We start from the raw sequence: 19537 nt of genomic DNA, 5'->3' as shown, positions 1-19537 counted from the left end.
TCCCAAAAGCTAGCCTGCACAGTCCCTGCACCAGCAAAGGGACAGGAGCCATGCACCCAGGGTGCTCCAGCAACATGGTCCAGTCCTTCCTTCCCCTACTTTCCTGCTCACTTAATCCCCACTGAGTGTGTATCTGGAGAGTCAAGCAAAACTCTCTACACTGGGCTTTTAACTTTTATTTTTTAAAGAGAGGACAGACATTTGAAACATTTTCTCCAAGTCTCCATAAAAAGCACTTTATGAAACAATCTAGGCTTACCAGCCTTGACATTCCCCAGCTCTCTGGACTTAATCACAAAGGGAGATGAGGCCAAGCCTTGGGGGGTAGAGTAGAAGAAAGTATAGGACTCCTTTGATGCCACCTACACGCATTAAATGCACCAGCCACTTCTCTACTTTTCTTTGTGAAGAAGTTGTAAGCTAATCAATGTCCCTTCTCTGCATGAGATCGATACTAAAGCTACAATCAGTGCTTTTACCAGCTTAGCTGCCCTGGGCCCATGGGGCTCCTGATTGTAAGGAAATAACCCCTCTTCTGCTTGAGCCCTTCCTCACTCCACCTCTCCCAGTGGGATTTCTCATTACAGAGGAAATGCTGGAGGAGGCTGGGCTGTGATCATTTAGAGTGTACTTAGTGCCAGGACACCAGCGAGAAAGGGCTTTTTTTCTGGCAGGAGACAGGATGCCCTTTACAAATAAGTGCAGTGAGGTAAACCTTGGGACTTACCTGACTGTGCACTTTTCTGTCACTCCCAACTGCTTCATCCTTTGCTTCCCACAACTCTGGACTGGCAATCAGGAGATGGACTGGCATAACATGGTGCTTAAGAGTGAGTGGTTTTGGCAATAGACTGCATGGGTCATGAGCTGTGTGACCTTGGATAAGTTACTCAACTTCTCTGAGCTTCAAATTCGTGATTTTTAAATAGAGGTGATAATACTACCTACTTCCCAGGGTTGCTCTGAGGATTAAATAAGTGAGAAAGCATATAAGGTGCCAGGTACATAACCAAAGTTCAGATGTTTCCTATTCCTATTATCATCTTCTCCATCTTTCTGGAGGACATTCAGAAGGCCCTAACCATTCTCTTTCTGTTTCTTCACCTGAAAATTGTGGATAATAGTGCATTGGAAAACATTTCACAATAGCCAGAAACTTTTAATTGTTAAAACCATCATATTGGCATATATCATAGAGAGTAGCAGGAAAACTGAGGGATAGAGGCTAACGGAGGACCCATTGAGAACAGGAAGCTACTGTGGCCAACAGAGAAAAAAATGATGACATAGAAAGAAACAAAATGGCAAACTCGAGCTGAGGGGTTAAGAACCTTCAACCAACTCCAGCAGCTCTGGACAGGTTTATCACGTTCTTTGGGGTGGTTCCCTGGTTGGACAGGTCTCTGGTAATGCTGGACCAGGTGTGGTTTCCAGGGAGAAGGGAGGTTCATAGGCTGGTGTTTGGCATATAGCAGATGCTCTGTAAATATTTGCTAACATTTAATGAAGAGAGCACTGCCCACCTCTTAGAGAGTGTCAAAGAGATGGCAGCAGCACTGATGAGAAGGTGAAAGGGAACTCCTGGATGTTTCCAAAACCTAACCTATGCAGCATCTGCTAATGGAAAATCCATTTGCTCACCAAGGAGGCTTTAGAAGAAGACCTTCTCCAAAAAGTGCACCCTGACTCAGGCCAGGAAACGCCAAGAGTCTGAATAAGAAGAGCAGGCTCCTCAGGTCCCCCAATGCCATCCTGGGAAAAGGTACTGGATGCCCGTGTTTGCAGGGGAGGAACCCAGGTGTACCAGGAGTTCGCAAAGCCTTGTTGAAGCCTATCCAATGAATGTTGAATATTAACTACAAATATATCCTGTTATATAAGTTCAACATAAATTTCAACCTCTTTAAATTCATTTTTTCAAAGTTTTCACAGGTTGGGTTCACCAGAAAGCTAGCTCTGAGATGGAGACTGGTGTGCGAGAGGGTTGTTATGGGTGATCTTGAAATCAACAACTGTGGATGGGAAGGAAAGAAAGGAGGCAGGATTGGGCAAAGGGAAAGTTGAGCTGTGATGCTGTCCCAATGGAGGCCTCAGCCTACCTGAGTTCTGAAGATGGGTTGACCTTTCACAGCCATCCTGAGTTGAGGTGAGGGGCCGGACTTTCATGTTTCTGCATTGATTAGGTATTAGATAAACTGCCAGGGAAAGCGGTGTGACCTTGAGCTAGTTGGCTCTCAGCCAAGGCAAATCCCTCAGGGAGCTGACAGCTGAAGTCATCTGCCAGCGGCAGCTGAATTTACAAATTCGTTATTCCTAAAGGGAGATCTGAGTGGTGCATCCCAGTGTCCACCACAGTTGGGGAGCATAAATTAATAGAAAACACTAGAGTAGAAAAGAAAAGCCCTTTCATATCCAAATTGTTGTCCCAGCCATTGCCTTCGTCCCTTGCTGTGCAGAGCATTTGTGAAATTATGTCATTCACTAATTTGTTTATGTTCTCTCATCTCCATGAGTCAAAGCTCCATGAGCCAAAGGATGGGGATTTGGTCTTAGGAGACCAACACTCAGACCATTTCCTGGTACATAATAGGTGCTCAACAAATATTGAACAAGCTAACAAAATGAGAAACCGTAACTGGCAAAAAGCTTGATTTGTATTTGAGGTATTCTCAGGAGTCAGGGAAAGGGAGAGGGAATATGCTTCAAAGCCAGATGCAGTGGAACTATGGCTGGGGGAATCATTGAAACAGATTGGGTCATAGACATGCAAAGTCTAATGCTGTGATTGAATGATGGCTGTCCCTTCAGTCTTCAGATGTCTTGTGTGGTTCTTTGGGCTTCTCCAGGAAAGGGAATGAGACAATAAGGCACATTGTTTTCCTCCCCTTTAATCCACAGCGCATCTTGTCATAGTAACAATGGCCCCAGTCTTGTCTACCATCGAAGGGGAAATCTCAGCACTGGTGGACACTCAGCCTTGTTCCTTGTAGCCTGAACACCTGGAATTTCAAAAGCAGCATGCTAGTGTAAAACTTGCAAGAAGCTCACATGGCATATGGGATTTTTGCTGCTTAGCTTGTGTCAATTGCTGCCATTGGGGCTCCCTATGAGTGAATGCTAATAACACGGGCAGTCCCAGGCATCTGGGCTGCACTGACATCCCCTCACTAACTTCAGGGTCTTGCTTTGTTTGCCTTTCAGCAGTGATTGGAGAGCCAACTTCTTCCCATAATTCAATTAAATGAAATTAGATTTAGGGAGAGGAAGTTTCTTCCTTTTGCCTTTTCTAAGAATAATCAATCTCATTAACATGTTCATGCCCCCAGAACTTTTTAAAATCTCTCCCCCCTGTTTCAATTAAACTCATTAGTGACACAGGTTTCTTTTTTAAGTTATTAGAAGGTTGGAGCATCTTTTTTAAGTTATTAGAAGGTTGGAGTGGTTTGCAAGGCCTATTCGGAATAAGCCATTTGCACAGTGATACCCCTAGAGTGGGTGTTCCTGTAGCCATAAGATTAGATCAATTGCTTTTCCTTCTTCAACGGACCAAACATGGTCAACCCCAAAGTCTTCTTTGGGCCAGCCAGTTCTGGACCATAAGGTTGCCCTCAGACCCAAAGGCACTCAAGGGTGTTGGTTTCTAACCCTCTGCTCAGGCCTCAGAGGCACCTGGGACCCAAAAAGCCAGCAAAGCTGAGCTTCTTTTCCACCCTCAGGAGGTAAGTGGTATGGTGGAGGGCAGGAAGAGGCCAGGGTGCTGGGAAGATGCTCAAAAGACCAATTTCCATCTGAACATGAGGCTCTGCAGGTCCTGCATTTGTCATGGCTCAGGTCTCTACTAATGGATATTAATTTACTCACCTAAGAGACTGCAAGGGCACATCTTCTCCCCAGAATGCACCATCACTTCAGCCAGGAATGCTAGGTGGCCTCTATTATTTACTCCTTTTGATTTTCTGTAATTCTTTTTTTCTTTTTTGAGATGGAGCCTCACTCTGTTGCCTCTGTAGTACAGTGGTGTGATCTCGGCTCACGGCAACCTCTGCCTCCTGGGTTCAAGCAAATTCTTGTGCCTCAGCCTCCCGATTAGCTGGGATTACAGGTGTGCGCCACTGTGCCCAGCTAATTTTTGTGTTTTTATTAGAGACGGGGTTTTGCCATATTGGCCAGGCTGGTCTTGAACTCCCAGCCTCAAGCGATCTGGCCCGCCTCAGCCTCTCAAAGTGCCTATCCAATTTTCTGTAATTCTGTATCTTGGGGCTTTGCTGACCCTAAAGGGAATAGGCTGCCTAAAGGGAGCCGCTGCTTCTCAGAGATAGTAAATGAATCACCTGGAAGCATGCCTTTCATATGCAAACTAACCAATCCAGCACCTCCCCATCCCACAACCTCCTCTAAGTGGAAGTAGGCTCTCACACTCCAGGCTACTATTCCCCACTGTAATCACACCAAGGCCAGGTACTAGACAATGCAGGACAGTTGCTCTACCCTGAACCTTCTGAAATATTCAAGCTAGCCAATCCTAAGCCTGGTTACCTGACCTTGCCCATTCTTTCTCAAGGGAAACACAATAAAAGCACTTGCTCACATTTCCCTCTAGCTCCCACTGCCTCCTGACCAAACCTGCTGCTTCTCCATGTGGCCCTGCATGGTATGGTGTGCCCTGTTTTCCTGGGAACTATGAGGAACTGGAGATCTTTTCAATAGTTGTTGTCTCTTGATCTGTTGACCTCACTATACCTGAATACTAATAAAACTTACATTTAAAACAGCCTCCTGGGCCCTCTCTTGGAAGACAAAGTCCTGTAACCATTCACCGTGGTGAAGGAAAGCCATCTCTCTCCCTGTGTCTCAACAGGGGCTGAAGGCACACATAGCTGAGCCCACTTCACACTCCCTCCCCACCAGCCATGAAGATGATGCCTGGCAATGAAGTTTGAGATCCAGTTCCAATTTTGGAATCATTTTCTCCTCATAGGTATTGACAATTTTTATACATTTCCAAGACCCATTGAAGATAATCCTCAGGGGTACATATGGTACAGGAGGATAGGAAACAGCTTGGAAGACAACAGAAAGGAATATGTATCCACAAGAAGAGCCTTTTCCAGTTCGTTTGCAAAAAAGTACTCCTGTTCTGCCCTGCTGGGCCTGGGGTGGCAGCTCTTAGAATCGGTTTCTAACCTTGCTTGGACCATCATCTTTTTGGTAGTCTGATGAAGTCTCAGGATCCCTTCTCATCATAAATATTTTATACTAATAAAGTAGAATACAGGGTATTACACAGGAAACTAATAATATTGAAAATACAATTATTAGAATATTTTAAAACAAACTTTGATTTAGAAGTTAATGCACTGCTTTATTAATTCTTTACATAACACAATGTATCAGAGGGTCTTATAAGTACTGTAATTTTGAAGTAGTGGTGAGTGGGATAATGTATCACAATATCTGCAGTGGTTGGAAACTGATCTAAAAATGTTTATGATTTCCATTTTCCCAGGCACTGTTAATACTATTATAGTTTGCTGCACATATTCATAACTGAAAGAAATGCTAAATTGCAAAGGAGGCTAATGAAAATAAAGAAATCATTTTTTCTTTCACAATTCAAGCTCACAGACAGATGCCCAGCATTCTCCCCAGCCCATGGTATGCAGGATACGCACCCTGTCTAGAGCTTTGAAAATTAGTAGCAGGTAGAGGAGCTGGTCTCCTCTGCTGAGTGTACCTGAGCCACAGTAGTGCTGGCTTCAGCTGGGAAGTGCCCATCTGGAGCCCAGTGGTTTAGGCCAGCAAATCATATTCTTATTTGCAAGTGGTCCTCCCTTCCCTCACACCTAGTCATTGTAGGCAATGAAGGCTCCAACAGGGTGCCTGGGATAGAGTAAGAGCAAACTAGCTCAGTGACCTTTGGGCAAAGTCTGTCTCTGTTCTGTAGAAATGTAAAGGCATGGGGGTTCTGGTCCTCTATCTCCAGTGAGAGTTGAGTCTTATGAGCCCTGGAGATCTCTCCAAGTGTCATAAAATTGAATTATCTCATTTCTAGGCATGGAGTATGGTCACCCCACACTCATGAATTATCTGATACCCATGGGTCACCCTAATGATACTGCATAGAGACAGAGCTAAAGCAAAAGACGAGGGAGACATCACTGCAAAGGTGGGAATTGTAGCCTTAGAAGGGAATAAGTTCACCTGGGGAAATGAGAAGGTGCATCATGAGCCAGACCCGAAATGACTTGATCACAGAGAGGACAGGCTTCAGTGAGGGCTGGTCAGGCCAAAGGGTCAAATGTCTACTTGAATTCTTTGCTCTCAGTATGTGGGAAGCAGCCTGCCTTTTCTCCCCCTCCTCTGAGGACCTGAGGGAAAAGCATGGGAGACCTGTTGACGCTTTGGGAACAGTCTAGGAATGTCCCCAAGATGAGCTTCTGCCTGCATTGACACCTCCCATTCCACAGGACCTAGACCTAGGGCCCTTCTTCCATGTCCTTACTGCCATGGGTAAGGACACTCCTGCATGGAAGAATCCCTGTGCAGTTCATGTCTGAATTCTCTGCAGGGATTCAATGTCTAGAAGCTCAAGCACATCTTCCCAGCAGTGGTTTTTCTGCATCCAGGCCCCTCTGATCACATTGTAGGCAACCTGAAGTGGCCTCTACCCTGACAATGCTTCTGTCTTTGAGATAATTCTTTTCTTCACACCTCCAGAAACTACGGTTAAGTGTCTGCTCTTACTGTCAGAAGAGACCTCATGATCACTGTATGTCACGGGAGGTGCAAAATTGTGCCTAATCCTCAAAGCAGTGGTGTGGATGCACGAAACAGGCCCCAGTGTAAGCTGTGTGTACACAGTGTAAGTGATGGCTTCACTTTGAGTTAAACCTAATACAAACTGTAATTGGAAAGTATAAATGGATTACCCTGGTCTTATTCAAATGTGCCACCACCCAATAACAGCAAGGACAGTCCCCTTGGAGAAAACACATTTTGTTTCTACTGATTTCAAGAAATCTCTGACTAGGGAGAGTTTCTAATTCATGAGATAGATTTTCAAGTGTGACTAAGAGACTTAATCTCTATTAAGTTGCCCTAAAAAGGAAAAGAAGCTATACATTTAAGTTGTGATTATGAAATAACATACAATCTGACCTCAGACTAAGAAATCCTGAGATGCAATCTATACATCTCAAAAGCTTTGCCTTACATTTTGAGACTTAGTGACTTTGGTGGCAGTGGCACACAGTGATCAACATTTCAAAACCCAGGCAGACTACCTTGGCTTTGGGCCAATGATAACCATTTGCACAGAAGCTGAATTCCCCCATTCTCCTATGTCTGCATGTCTTAACTCACCTTAACTATAGCACCAGCAGATTAAATTATGGCCCATTTCAGTGAACGGAGCCTTCTCCTACTCTCAGCTTTGTGATGTGTGGTGTGTGTGAGCCAAGAGTCACAGAAGGCTGAGATGTTTAATTGATGTGGCTCATTGAGCAGACAGTTTGCCCAGCCTATACCATCAGAGGGAAAGAGAGATCAGGCTGCCTCAAAGCATGGCATTTAGTTACAGTTTTGCCTCATTCAGTCAAACCTCAGGAGAGACAAATAAAAAATCAAAACACAAGAAAGAGGGAGAGAAAAAATTATCCTCCTTCCATTGCTTTGTGTTCCCTACTTTGCCTCCTTGCTCTGGTTTTTAGCAGTTTGGCCAATGGGTGGGGTACTGGGCTAAAGAATTTAGGAAGGTAGGGTTCTATTTGGAATAATTTAGGAAAAGCAGGACCCTAAACATGGCAGTGACAACAGTGAGCATCTAGGAAACCTCTACTGTTTTCTTAGCACCTTTTAAAGGAGTAGAAATGAAGGCCAGCATCACTACAGCTATTGAAGGCATTGGTTCATGTTCTTGCCCTGAGGGAAAACGTAAAAGAGAGACTGAGAATGAATAAAGGCCACATCGTTTCTACTGCAGGGCCACATTGGGGCAGTGCTTTCAATCTAGCAAGTAAAAAAGTGATAAACAGAAATATCTTTTCAAGGCCACCTCAATTTAGGATTTTCATGCTTGGGACTGAGAACAGGTGTAACGTCTCAGTTGAAAATCAGGGCTGTCCTGCCTACTGAGATTTCCTGTTGCAATCCGTTTATTTCTTCTCTGCAAAAAAAAAGTATTCTGTTTTCCCTTCAGTTGAAAAACTGTTTTCTCTGGGAATGCTGTTTTGCAAATGGAGTGTTAAAGTGAATAGTCAACAAAAGGAACTGGATCACCTGGGGAAATGAGCCAACACAGGGCAGGGTCAAAGTCATGAGAATGTCTTACCCACTGCAAGCTGTTTGCCCCTTCCTAATTGAACCACCTGTCCATTATCCTCTTCTGGGATTTTTAGTTGCCAATTTTTAATTGCAATTGAGTTCTCTCCAACACTTGACACATGCCTGATCAATTGCTGGCCAATGGCCTGTGCTAGTAGACCCACACTGACCAATGTTAAAGAAAAATAAAATTGGAAAGTCAGCCTGTTCCAAAGCTGCACAATGAATGCATCCCCAAAATAAGTGACCAAACAATTCCTAGATTATTTGGCCCCTGCTTAGTATATCCTTCTCATTCTTAATTTAGGCCTTGTGCATGGCACAAACAGAAAAAGGAATATGTGTGGTTTAGTATTCTAGGGGTTTTCTGGGAGGCTTCAACCCTTGCTCCATGAGCGGCACCCCCGACCGCCATCTGGCTGGTCCGAGTGGGCTCTCTGGGACCCACAACTCCTGATGGGCTCCATTGCTGCTCCAGCACTTAGCTTCACTGGGTTCCCGGATGCAAGCATGGTTCTCTTCACTTCTACTGACACTTTACAAGGGTAACAAGAATCAAGGTGGTGTCTGTTGTGTCAAAATCCCAAAGGACCTCGAGAAGTCAGTTAGTCCCCTCTGCCTTAAGGGCATCTTTCTTTTAGGGACATATCACAAATTCTAATATATTCACAAAACAAACACAAAAGCCCACACATTTTGAGAAAAGATCTGCCAGCCACCAGCTCAGATGTACATGGTAAAGCTGCCTTTCCATGTGTGTGCTTTTTTGTTTTAAGACGGAGTCTTTGTCATCCAGGCTGGCGTGCAGTGGTGTGATCTCAGCTCACTGCAACCTCCGCCTCTCAGGTTCAAGTGAGTCTCCTTCCTCAGCCTCCTCAGTAGCTGGGATTATAGGCACCCACCACCAAGCCTGGCTAATTTTTGTATTTTTAGTAGAGGTGGGGTTTCACCATGTTGGCCAGGCTGGTCTCAAACTCCCTACCTCAAAGTTCATCCACCCACCTTGGCCTCCAAAAGTGCATGTATTCTTGATTGATGGTGACAGAATATGGAGAAGTGTGTCAGTTCAGGTTCTCCAAGAAGCATGTGCCCAGATGGGATTAGACCGCAGAATATTTATTTATTGGGGGAAATGGCTGTGAAGCATAAAAGTGGAGGGAGCAGTAGCAGGGAGTGCCTTCAGATCATATTCAGGTTGATCACCTGTAAAAGAAGATTGGGAAGGAAGAAAGGAGATGTGGGTAGGAAGAGCTTTTGCGCAGCTCTCAGAAAGCCTTGGCCAGGCCAGAGGAGGGCCCTAGAGCAAAAGTTGCTCAGTAGAGTCCTGTGTTGGGCAGCTCTAGTGTACCAGCCGTCCTCGGTGGTTGGCAGGGAAAGTGGGGGTGGCCTAGCCACAGCAAGACCACTGTAGAGGGTCTCAAGGTGTGGCAGCTGGAAGCTGTTAGCCATGGTCGGCCCCCACACGCTCTCCATAGCCAAGTTCTCTTGAAGTTCTCTTGAAGGAGCATCTGAGTGGACCTCTTGACCACTACAAGGAGAGGGAAAATGATGACGAATCCTTGCTCAGCCACTTCACTGGATGCCTGCCTTTAGTCTATAGGGTTTATCTTTATAATCTTAGCTCTGATTACATTATTGCTTTAAAAAATGCAATGGCTCCTACTGCATAGCATCAGGATCCAACTCCATAATAAAGCACCAAGGCTATTCACTATCTGGGCTTCTCTCGACTGCCTCTTTGAGGATAGTTCTTATGCTGAAACCCAGAGAGAGGTCCTAACCAGCAGCACGTGTGCCTTTTACCACATAGCATTCTAAGTGAATGTGAACTTGATTGCTCTGTGAGCACTTTCTGTATCTTCCCACTATTCTCTATGGTTGAATATGGGCCACATCACACATTTACAGGGGGTACAGCTAGGAATCAGACACTGTTCCTGTACTTATGAAGGTGTGACTTCAAGGCCTTGCACAAACATTGCCTCCTCTGAGGTTCCTGAGCAGCACAGGTAGACCTAACCCCCTTTCCACATCACTGTTTGTCATGAGTATGGTTCCATCACACTGTATTGTTTTGGGTTGGGTTATGGGTCTGTTTCCTCATAGCCTGTTAGCTCATGGAGGTACCATGCCCATCTTTTGTCTTCTGATGCGTCTCCCAGTTTGACAGCCATAAGAGGTGTTTATTCCCATCAGCATTTATGACAGCAGAGCTACAGCTGGAGGAAGCAATCTTCTGTCTTTCTGCCCTCATGAAGTCACGCAAAGGCAGCAAACCATCTGGTCTACATTATGGGCACTTACGCATATGCCAGACACCTGAGCTGGGGACAGGGCTAGTGGAAGATGATGAGGGAAATAGTCATGTCATGCCGACCCCACCTTCTATCATTCTTCTTTCCAATAGATAACCACTGCTTGCAACGCTTCAAATCATACTTCTTTGCTCACACTTGCATCCTTCATATGACCCTTATGCATGGTAATGGGAGGTGGATCAAACTCCTAATTCTATATTCTTCTGGTAAATTTTATCATTTTTCCCAAGGGGGAAAACAGGCAGTGGCATTACTACGTTATCTTTATTTCGAAGGTAATAGTTCCCAGATTGCTTATCTGAGAACATTGATTATTTTGGATTTTGGAAACAAAACCAAAGTTCACCACCCTGAGCCAGTCCAAACTAAAAATGTAACTGGAGAAGGCCCAAATTCCACTTGTAAAATCATTTTATTGGTATAAATATACATATGAATAAAATACTTCCAGCCTGTAATGTAAGTGAATATTTGTGAAATGTCTTATAAAGAGTAGTATTTTGATTTTTACAGGTGTCAAAGTATTCTCTCTTAAAATCACACATTAAAAGCTAATATGCAGACAGAAATTAAAGGCCTTCAAAAACATGAATATTCATAAAACCTCATTCCAATCAACTATATACATTAATCTGGGCACATGGTAAAATCAGCCATGGGCCTCTCTCACTCTGTTCTTAGCTGTGCTCGTTGATGGTATGCAAAGGTCACCGACCAAGCTTTAAATGTACAATTCCACATCAGGAAGGAAGAAGTTCCCCATGGGAGAAGGTAAAAACCATACCCAAGATCTAATATATATAATCTATACAAATTATTAGTGTGCTCTGTTAATATAATTACAATGTGCAATTGCATACATCAAGAATAAATTGCTATATTGAGTCCTGTGCGGATTTGACACAGGTACACTTAGCAGTACTCCGAGGTCTGCTGTGGTGTTACTTGTGTGAGTGTGTGTCCAGTTATTTCATTTATCTCCAAAAACTCATCTTGCAGGGCAATCTGTAGCTGCCTCAGATAAATTCAAGTAGGGCCCATGGGATAATTGCTGGCTTTCATTAAAGGCATATGAAGGAATGTTTAGAAATCAAATGCAAAGGGTTGGAGGAAGACCAAACAAATGTGCTTTGATTACCAAGAAATGGATCTGTTTCTATACAAAAAAAAAAAAAAAAAAAAAAAAAAAAGGCAGGGGATGGGGGTGGGGGCGAAATAAAGAAAAAGAAGAGAATAAAGCACCCAGAGAAGAACGCCTGGGAAGAAAAGATGTTGCCCTTGGTTCCTCTCTGATGGCTACCAAAGCACCCTGCACAGGAAGACTTCTGCGTGGGTGACCTTTACACAAAAATAAACTCTTTTTCTGCTTCTTCCCCGGAGTCATTAGATTTGCTGCCTTGATGGCCATCTTTACTGGAGGACCGTTGCTTTTGTTCTTGATACTCCTGGGCCTGCTGGCCCCAGCTTCTCCTTGAAACTGAAATAAAAAGGGAAGTCGCACAGTTTACTGACAAAGTAATACCAGTGGCCTGACTGATAATGGGCTGAGATGCAGTAGCCTTGAAGGTTTGGGGGAGGGGAGGGGGCCAGGGTGAACTTTCTCAGAAACAAACTTGCTATTATGTTTAGAGACTCTAGACAGAAATGTAAAACAAACCAACAAAGCAGAAACAACATGAGAAAACACACACAAAAACAGTCTATGACAGGGTGAACCTCTCATAGATGTGGGCAAGAATCTGAGGTTAGGACCCCCGAGGAAAGGATGGTGGGGAAGCGGAGGGAGATGCCAGGAGGGAGGAGGGCTTTGAAGCGGTTCTGCTCCAGGTGACCTCCTCAGTCATAGCTGCCCCCTCACACAGCACAGAGAACAGGGCAGACAGAGCTTTGAGGAGATGCTGGGTGGACAAATGTCCCATTCGATGCCTTCTGCAGATGATTTGGGGCTTGTCATTCCTGCTTGTGGGACAGGATATCAGCAAAGGCCTCAGGAATCTTTGTCAGACCTTTCTGTGACTCAGAAAACCTCAGTTTCACCCTCTAGGAAATAAATACTTTAAAGTCTAGTGAAAAAGCATTAAATACTGCCTATGACACATTCAACCATTTTGGAATCACCCTCCAGGTAAAAGAATTACCATTATTGTTGCCTGCTCTGATTACACATAAATATGAAGAATCCACTGAGGCTTTATAAAGCAGCGATAGGAGAATCATTACTGGAACAGAGCCTCTGTCATGTGTTAGGCACTCTCTGTTTTATTATCGCTATTCCTCACAATTACCTTCTGTAAGGCAGGTTTTGTAAAACTTGAAACCAGGATTTAAACTAGATCTGTCTCTCCAAAGCCTATGTTCTTTCCAACTAGAACATGGCTTCACTGCTATGATACCTTGGGAAAAGGTTCGGATGCTGTACTCCAGCATAGCTATTAAGGATTATTAAATACTATTCATCTTGTCTATTGTATAGACAGATCTTGAGCTAAGAATACTAAACCCACACACTTTGTGCCAGCCTGAAGGAAGAGTACAGCTACCTCATCACTCGGAAGTTCCAATGATCTAACCAGGAACACACTACATCAATCCTTTAAAAGCTATAGGATTCATTTGATGCTTCTAATCACTTGATTTTTGCATTCTGCTAAAAAAAAAAAAAACTTATCTTGCTGGCTACTAAAATGTTGAACTCACTGAAGAGTGTTTCAGGAAGTGAAAGCTCATTAAACCTAACAGTCAAAATGCAAACCTAATAGAGTACTTCTCCTGCCAATACTGGTATTAGAGCCAGATGCTGGTATTTAGACAATAAAAATTTAAATCTTTAGTTAATGACATTAAATTGAAATAACTCAAAACTCTGAAAGGAAAAAAACCTTTCAAATCTGATAATAAAAGTACGTAATTTCTTAAATTGTGACTTCTTTTTGTCCAACAGATTCAGGCAAATTCTCAAACTGGGGGAAGAAAGCAACAAACAAATATTATCATTGATTTCTATTATTTTTTCTTTTTAGAAACAGGGTCTTGCTCTGTCACCCAAACTGAAGTGCAATTTCTATTTTTAAGTTTGTGTTGGGTAAAAAAATTAAATGCACTTGTTTGGTCCTTTCACAACTGTCAGTAAGCCAGGTTTAGAGAACAAAGGTGAATAAATGTCAATAAATATTTTGCTCTTTATCACAAAACCAATTTGATACTAATAGACAAAGAATCCTTTAATTACTAAGAACAAAAGAAAGTAGGGAAGACTTATATTATCTTCATCCTGAAAACATTTTACAATAAACCCAACCTCAAACTACAGCATTTCTTGTGGTATCTGCTAGAAAATATTTTTCATCGTTTTAAAACCAAAATAGGTTGTTCCTCTATATTAAATTACTCAAAAATACACTACAAGTTCAAGGGAAGAAACAAATATAATACACTGCTCATTTGTCTTCAGAGCAAATATATTTGTTCTAATTCTTAGATTTAAAGGATAATCAAGCTTTTCATTCTTCCCAATATTTTTGTTTCCTGGCAATCTTGGGTCTAACTCATGTTGTATGATACGACATAAGAGTACTTTCTAAAAATGGAGAAATTCAAGAAACCAAAAATGTTTATGTCACAGATAAAAAACTGAGATAACCCTATAGACCAGGGTCATTACAACAGGCATGATTAAAATTCAAAGAAATCCAACATAGAAATCTTCTTGCAAAAAGTAGGTTGTCCTTCAGTCTCCACCTAAATGTTGATTCTTTTGAGTCACTGACACCAGGCTTCCAAATTCTCCAGGACTCAGGGGTTGTAGGAGGAAAAATAATATATTATTTCAAGAGGGCTGTCAAAGAATTTCACTATGGTGGCGACTTTATTTAGAAATTCATTCTAAATATATTCACCTCCATTGATTAAACTCTACCAATTGTGAATGTGCATGTGATAATGAGACTAGTACCAGGCTGACATGTTCTTAGTATAGTAGGTAAGCACCATTCAAGAACAGGAAAACTAAGGCATAGCGAGATCAAGGACCTAAAGTTATGCAATTAATGTGATGAGTTTGAAGGTCAAAGCATTTGTTCTTCTCGTCTCCACCCTTATTAGTCCAGATCCCTAATGTGAACAACTTTGTAGGACGAACGTTCTTTGTCGTTTGTTTTCCAGCCCTTAAGGGAACATCTATTTGACTGCATGTAATTAAGATGTTGACTACGACTATATTGAAGTAGGTTTAGTCAGGCTTCTATTAAAAGATGGTCTAAATAGAATTACGTCTGTTTGAAACTTAAAACTCCAGAATGTATGTATGTATGTATGCGTGTATGTATGCATGCAAGCATTTATTCATTTATAGATACTGAGTCTCACTCTGTTGTCCAGGCTGGAATTCAGTGGCGCAGTCATAGCTCACTGTAGCCTCAAACTCTTGGGCTCAAGTGATCCTCCTGTCTCAGCTTCCAGAGTAGCAGACACTACAGGTGCACCTCCTCACCACACCCAGCTAATTTTTTATTTTTATTTTTCTATAGACAGAGTCTCATTTGTTGCCCAGGCTGGTCTCAAATTCCTGGCCTCAAGTGATCCTCCAGACTCAGCCTCCCAAAGTGCTGGGATTACAAATGTGAACCACTGTGCCTCGCTAGAATTTATTTTTAAAATATTTATAAGATTTAGACTTTTTACAAATTCAGACAGACCTCCTCTTAGGCAGCTTGAGTTAATGCTTGCTTTTATACAGGATGAAAAAAATCCAATTGTTTCACAAACACTTCTTCAATGCAAGTATTTGTTAAGAGTGCTGGAGCATCTCTATGCGTGTGTCTATTTACATATTTATCACTATTTTACATACTACTAAAGTTAATAGAAGATAAGTAAATGAACAGGTAATTTATTCAAAACAAACACTCCATGTATATACAGACCCTGTCTATAGTGGCAATAATTGGTACAGAGAGGCTCGAACGTGATATCTGTCATTCTTGAAGATGATTTGACATTGCATATATGTGATAATTTTAAAGCTTCTGAAATATGCATATAAATGCAGAATTAGAGAACCATATGAAAATTTGGTATTTTCTCCATTGTAAGCTCCACTGACATCCATATTTTCCAGGAGAAAAACACTATGATGACCTTAAAATAGTATTCAGTAGTTGGCCCTGATTTTTTATACTTTCTAGCAAGAGCCCAACATGCCAACTGTTAAATTTATCTTCAAGAACTCACTTAGGGGAAGCAGAACTTGAGTCTGGTGGAAAAAGTAGAGCAGAGCACTGGCTTACAGACTGCAAGTCACAGCCAAGTATTTATTGGCTGTAGCTTGGATTATGGAAGAGGCAAGTGATATATAAAAGGAATCTTAGATGCCCTGTACAAACAGGAGCCATTACAACGCATTCAAAGCCAAAATCAACTATTTTCTTCAAGAAAATAGGATACACTCTTACAAGAACATCACAACTTATAATTAAATGTAGAGAGGAAATAATATGAAATGAAAAAAATGTGCTTACAAATATTTCTAGTAAAAGAAATTAAGCATTTTACCTGTCAAATCAATATAGTAGCCACACAAAACATAATATTCGTGATAAAAATATGCAGCATGCTTTGAGAACAATATTTGAGAACAATAGCCTCTGTTTGTTTCATGAATACATACTTTAGGAAAATAAGGCTGTTTTAGTGTAAACAAAGCTGCTCTTAAAAGACTTAAAAGAAAGTATAAGCAATTATTTAATAGAATTGATCTGCTAAATGTTATTTTTTTAACCAGGAACTATTCAGAAAGCAGACTGCTACGCAGTTCTCAAAGGTGAAGACAGTCAAGTGCTAGGAATCGGCACTAACAAAACAAAATTAAAATATTATGCATAAAATCACTTTAATTGAAGATCCTGTAAAAATTACTTCTTAATGCCTGTCATTATTTCAAGAAATCAAAGCAGAAAAGTAAATACAAGATGGTCCTATTTAGTTCCATCAAAATTTGACCAGCTCCTCACAATGAGAATTTTAAGCTAAAGAGGTCATGAACAAATCTGAGACAGATATAGAATCTCTTCTTGCTTTTCTATAATTTGGGTTATCTCTGTGTTTATCCTCTTTTTACTCTAACGCAAAGCCTCATTGGATGATCAATAGGCACTGGGCGGCAGGTAGCAGGGAGCGTCTCTTTTTGTGTTGTATAAAGTGTTTTTAGTGGCCTCTTGAAGAAGGAACATTGCATTAATGATGCTTTGTTAATAATCAAGTGATATAAGTCAATGAAAACAATAGTTCAAATGTAAAGCTCCAGAAACCAGAAACGTCTATGCAACCTTAGGTATGCTTAACAAAAGGGGCAATATAGAGACAGAGATTCTGGCCTAACAAATTCTCAAAAATAACTTGTCAGAAAATAAATGTCTTAGGTGTTCATTTATGTAACTTTTCTAGGACTGAAGATAGAGATTTTCTTGGCCATATGAGAGAAACTTTCTTGTAGAGAGGAGTTATTGTAACTATGTGTCTATAAACAAATCCACTACATAGGATACTCTATAAAAGTAAAGGGTCAACTTAATTGGCTTTCTCTAGGGCAGGAGCTACCCAGCCCAAACAATGTTTTAACCTTACTTGTCCTGTAGACTTTGCTTTATGCTCTGAGAGGTGTCTTTAACCCACCCTGCCACCTAGCTAGTATACGCCGGAACCCCAGGCAAGTGAGCACATGTGGCTGAGCCCATGGCACTGGCTGAGAAGGCAGGCTCCAAACGTTGTCCCTGGCAGGCAGTTGGTAGATGTTTTTTTGTTTTAAAACCTATATCAAAGAAAATTCTCAAAGAGAACCGTTCCCACTTCAGGTATCATAACTCATTGGGCTGTTAAGCTGTGAAGTGTATCATAAGAAGTTTATTATCAATAGTAAAGTGTGAAAATTCAAGAATGGCTTATCCCTTTGCAATAAAGAGAAGGTATCCCTATAATAAGGTCACTCCCATTAACTTGTATTCTGAAATGCTTTCTTGGGAGGCAGTGAAGGGCATGGTGTTACAGCCTGAATGCTGGGCCACACCTGATCCCTGGGAGCCTAAATACATGCATCTATTAACCCCTGATATGGTTTAACAGGAAGAAAAGAGCCTCATTCCAAGAGCAGAAGTCCTTTAAAGAAATCTCACATATCAGAATATGTTATATTCCTTACAGATACTAAGATTTCCTTTAACGGATTTTTGAAGTCATGTTTATAAGAAGTTAATATATTAACCAGGGAAGAGATGAGTACTTTAGGCACAAAAAAGACATTTTTTTCTCTGAGTCAGCAATACTTGTCCTTCAATTTCCCATTGGAGGGCAGAGCTGATTTGAAATCTGTCTTCTTTTTGTCTCTTGGGATTGTTCTCACCTGAACAGAACATTACAGAATTTACTACAGGGCCAAATGAAAGACAGAAGTCAGAGAGCAACTCCTAAAAAGTGGAATAAATTGTTCCTGATGGTTGACAAGTTAAATGGTACTTTTTCTTTCTTACTAAAGGGTGATAAAATGATAAAGGGTGAAAGATCATGTGCATGATCCAACGTCTGCATTGAGTCAGTGACTTTTTATTGATCCTTTCCTGAAAGAGTGTAAGATATTAGGCCAATATTCTCTAAGGATATAAACTCTGTCATTCTAAGAATCTCTGATCCAACCACAGTTGAAACCTAACAGGAGAGTAAAGATATAAAGGAAGAGAATAGGAAGCCTAACCCCAATTATAAAAATAAACTTGCATGATCACAAAAATTTAAAAGGACAAGTCACCAAAGTAACTTGATCTTCCTAATAAGAATTTCTAATTTTAGATTTTTAAGTCAATATTTTTTTTGCCCCAAATAAAAGGACCATCCTGTTGAGATTTAGAAAAAAACAAAACCAAAAACCTCTCTTGTATGACTAATCCCTGACCCAGTCCCACGATAGAATTCACTCAATTACAGTTTGTTTTTGTTAGTGCCAGTTCATAAGCTTCGGGTCAGTGAGGGATGATAATCGAAGGCTCTAACCATTTGTTGGCTGTGACTTCCTGTGCCCAATTGCATTCACTTCCTCTTCTGCAATGGTGGAGTACAGTTTTGAAGATCTTTTCCCTCTACTGGAAGGCTTGCCACTGTCATGATCTGAATGTCTTTTGTAATAATCTCCTCTTTGCACTACTGAGGAAAAGGGATTTATTTTACCCTTTATATTATTAGCACATACATCAATGTGTTGACATTAATATTTAAAAATATTAAAAATTAAATATCAGCTTACCCACCCCACTTAGGATTCAAGGAACCTACAGTGTTGGTCCTGGGCAGATATGCATCATTATCTACAGAATTCAACAGCCAACATTATGGAAATGTCGTGCAAAATGAGGTGAGCTGCGAGTCTGCCCCAAAAAAGTATTAACAAAAAGGCTCCAGTATTACCATTTTGATTCCACGATGGATTAATGAAAATCACATTCACTATGGAATAATCCAGAAGAATCATAGCAATTTACCTGTTTCAGAAATTAGTTGGGCATGCTAGTCCAAAGGGAGGCAAAGAACAGGGAAATGAAGTAATCAGCATGAATAATAGATAAGAAAACAGAATGAGCACAATATGGACAGTTTATAAAGAAAAAGATAGAACTCACAAGTGGCTGCCATTTCTGGGCAACCTTAGCGGACAAGCTGATAAAGTCAAAATCTTACCACCTCAGACATTTACAGACTGTTCCCAGACTTCATGTACATTTTCAGTCCAATTTCAATACCAAGTGATAACACCAGGATGATGTCTATGATTAACTTATTCTGGATCCCAGATGGGAAAGTCATGGTCTCCACAGCTCAGCCATCCCTACCGTCTGACTGGAAAGAAGGGAGCGTGA

At 41.5% G+C, this 19537-nt stretch overlaps 1 protein-coding gene across 19 annotated transcripts in view, besides 1 other annotated feature; it reads right to left on the bottom strand.

Moving 5' to 3' along the window:
• Positions 4091 to 4641: an enhancer, noted in NCBI's record as "OCT4-NANOG hESC enhancer chr6:25627151-25627701 (GRCh37/hg19 assembly coordinates)". NCBI's record gives its function as "activates a minimal SCP1, AML or CMV promoter by ChIP-STARR-seq in primed H9 embryonic stem cells {active_cell/tissue: H9 hESC(primed)}" and the evidence as "EXISTENCE:reporter gene assay evidence [ECO:0000049][PMID:30033119]".
• Positions 11034 to 19537, bottom strand: part of CARMIL1 (capping protein regulator and myosin 1 linker 1) — a 341157-nt gene continuing 332653 nt past the window's right edge. For 8 of the 19 annotated variants that reach the window (XM_017011008.2, XM_017011012.2, XM_017011011.2 and 5 more), the window contains 2 exons: positions 18678 to 18827; positions 11034 to 12117 (listed from right to left, as the gene is read on the bottom strand). In XM_017011008.2, coding sequence (XP_016866497.1) covers positions 11981 to 12117; positions 18678 to 18827 — 287 coding nt within the window. In that variant the 3' untranslated portion in view covers positions 11034 to 11980. The remainder of the gene's footprint in view (positions 12118 to 18677; positions 18828 to 19537) is intronic. The other 11 variants (XM_017011015.2, XM_024446485.2, XM_017011016.2 and 8 more) reach the window with 2 other exon arrangements.

The sequence above is a fragment of the Homo sapiens genome, chromosome 6, assembly GCF_000001405.40.
Source record: "Homo sapiens chromosome 6, GRCh38.p14 Primary Assembly".
Classification (NCBI taxonomy): domain Eukaryota; kingdom Metazoa; phylum Chordata; class Mammalia; order Primates; family Hominidae; genus Homo; species Homo sapiens.
Note: the sequence above shows the minus strand (reverse complement) of the source record. Positions and strands in the feature narration are given on the sequence as shown.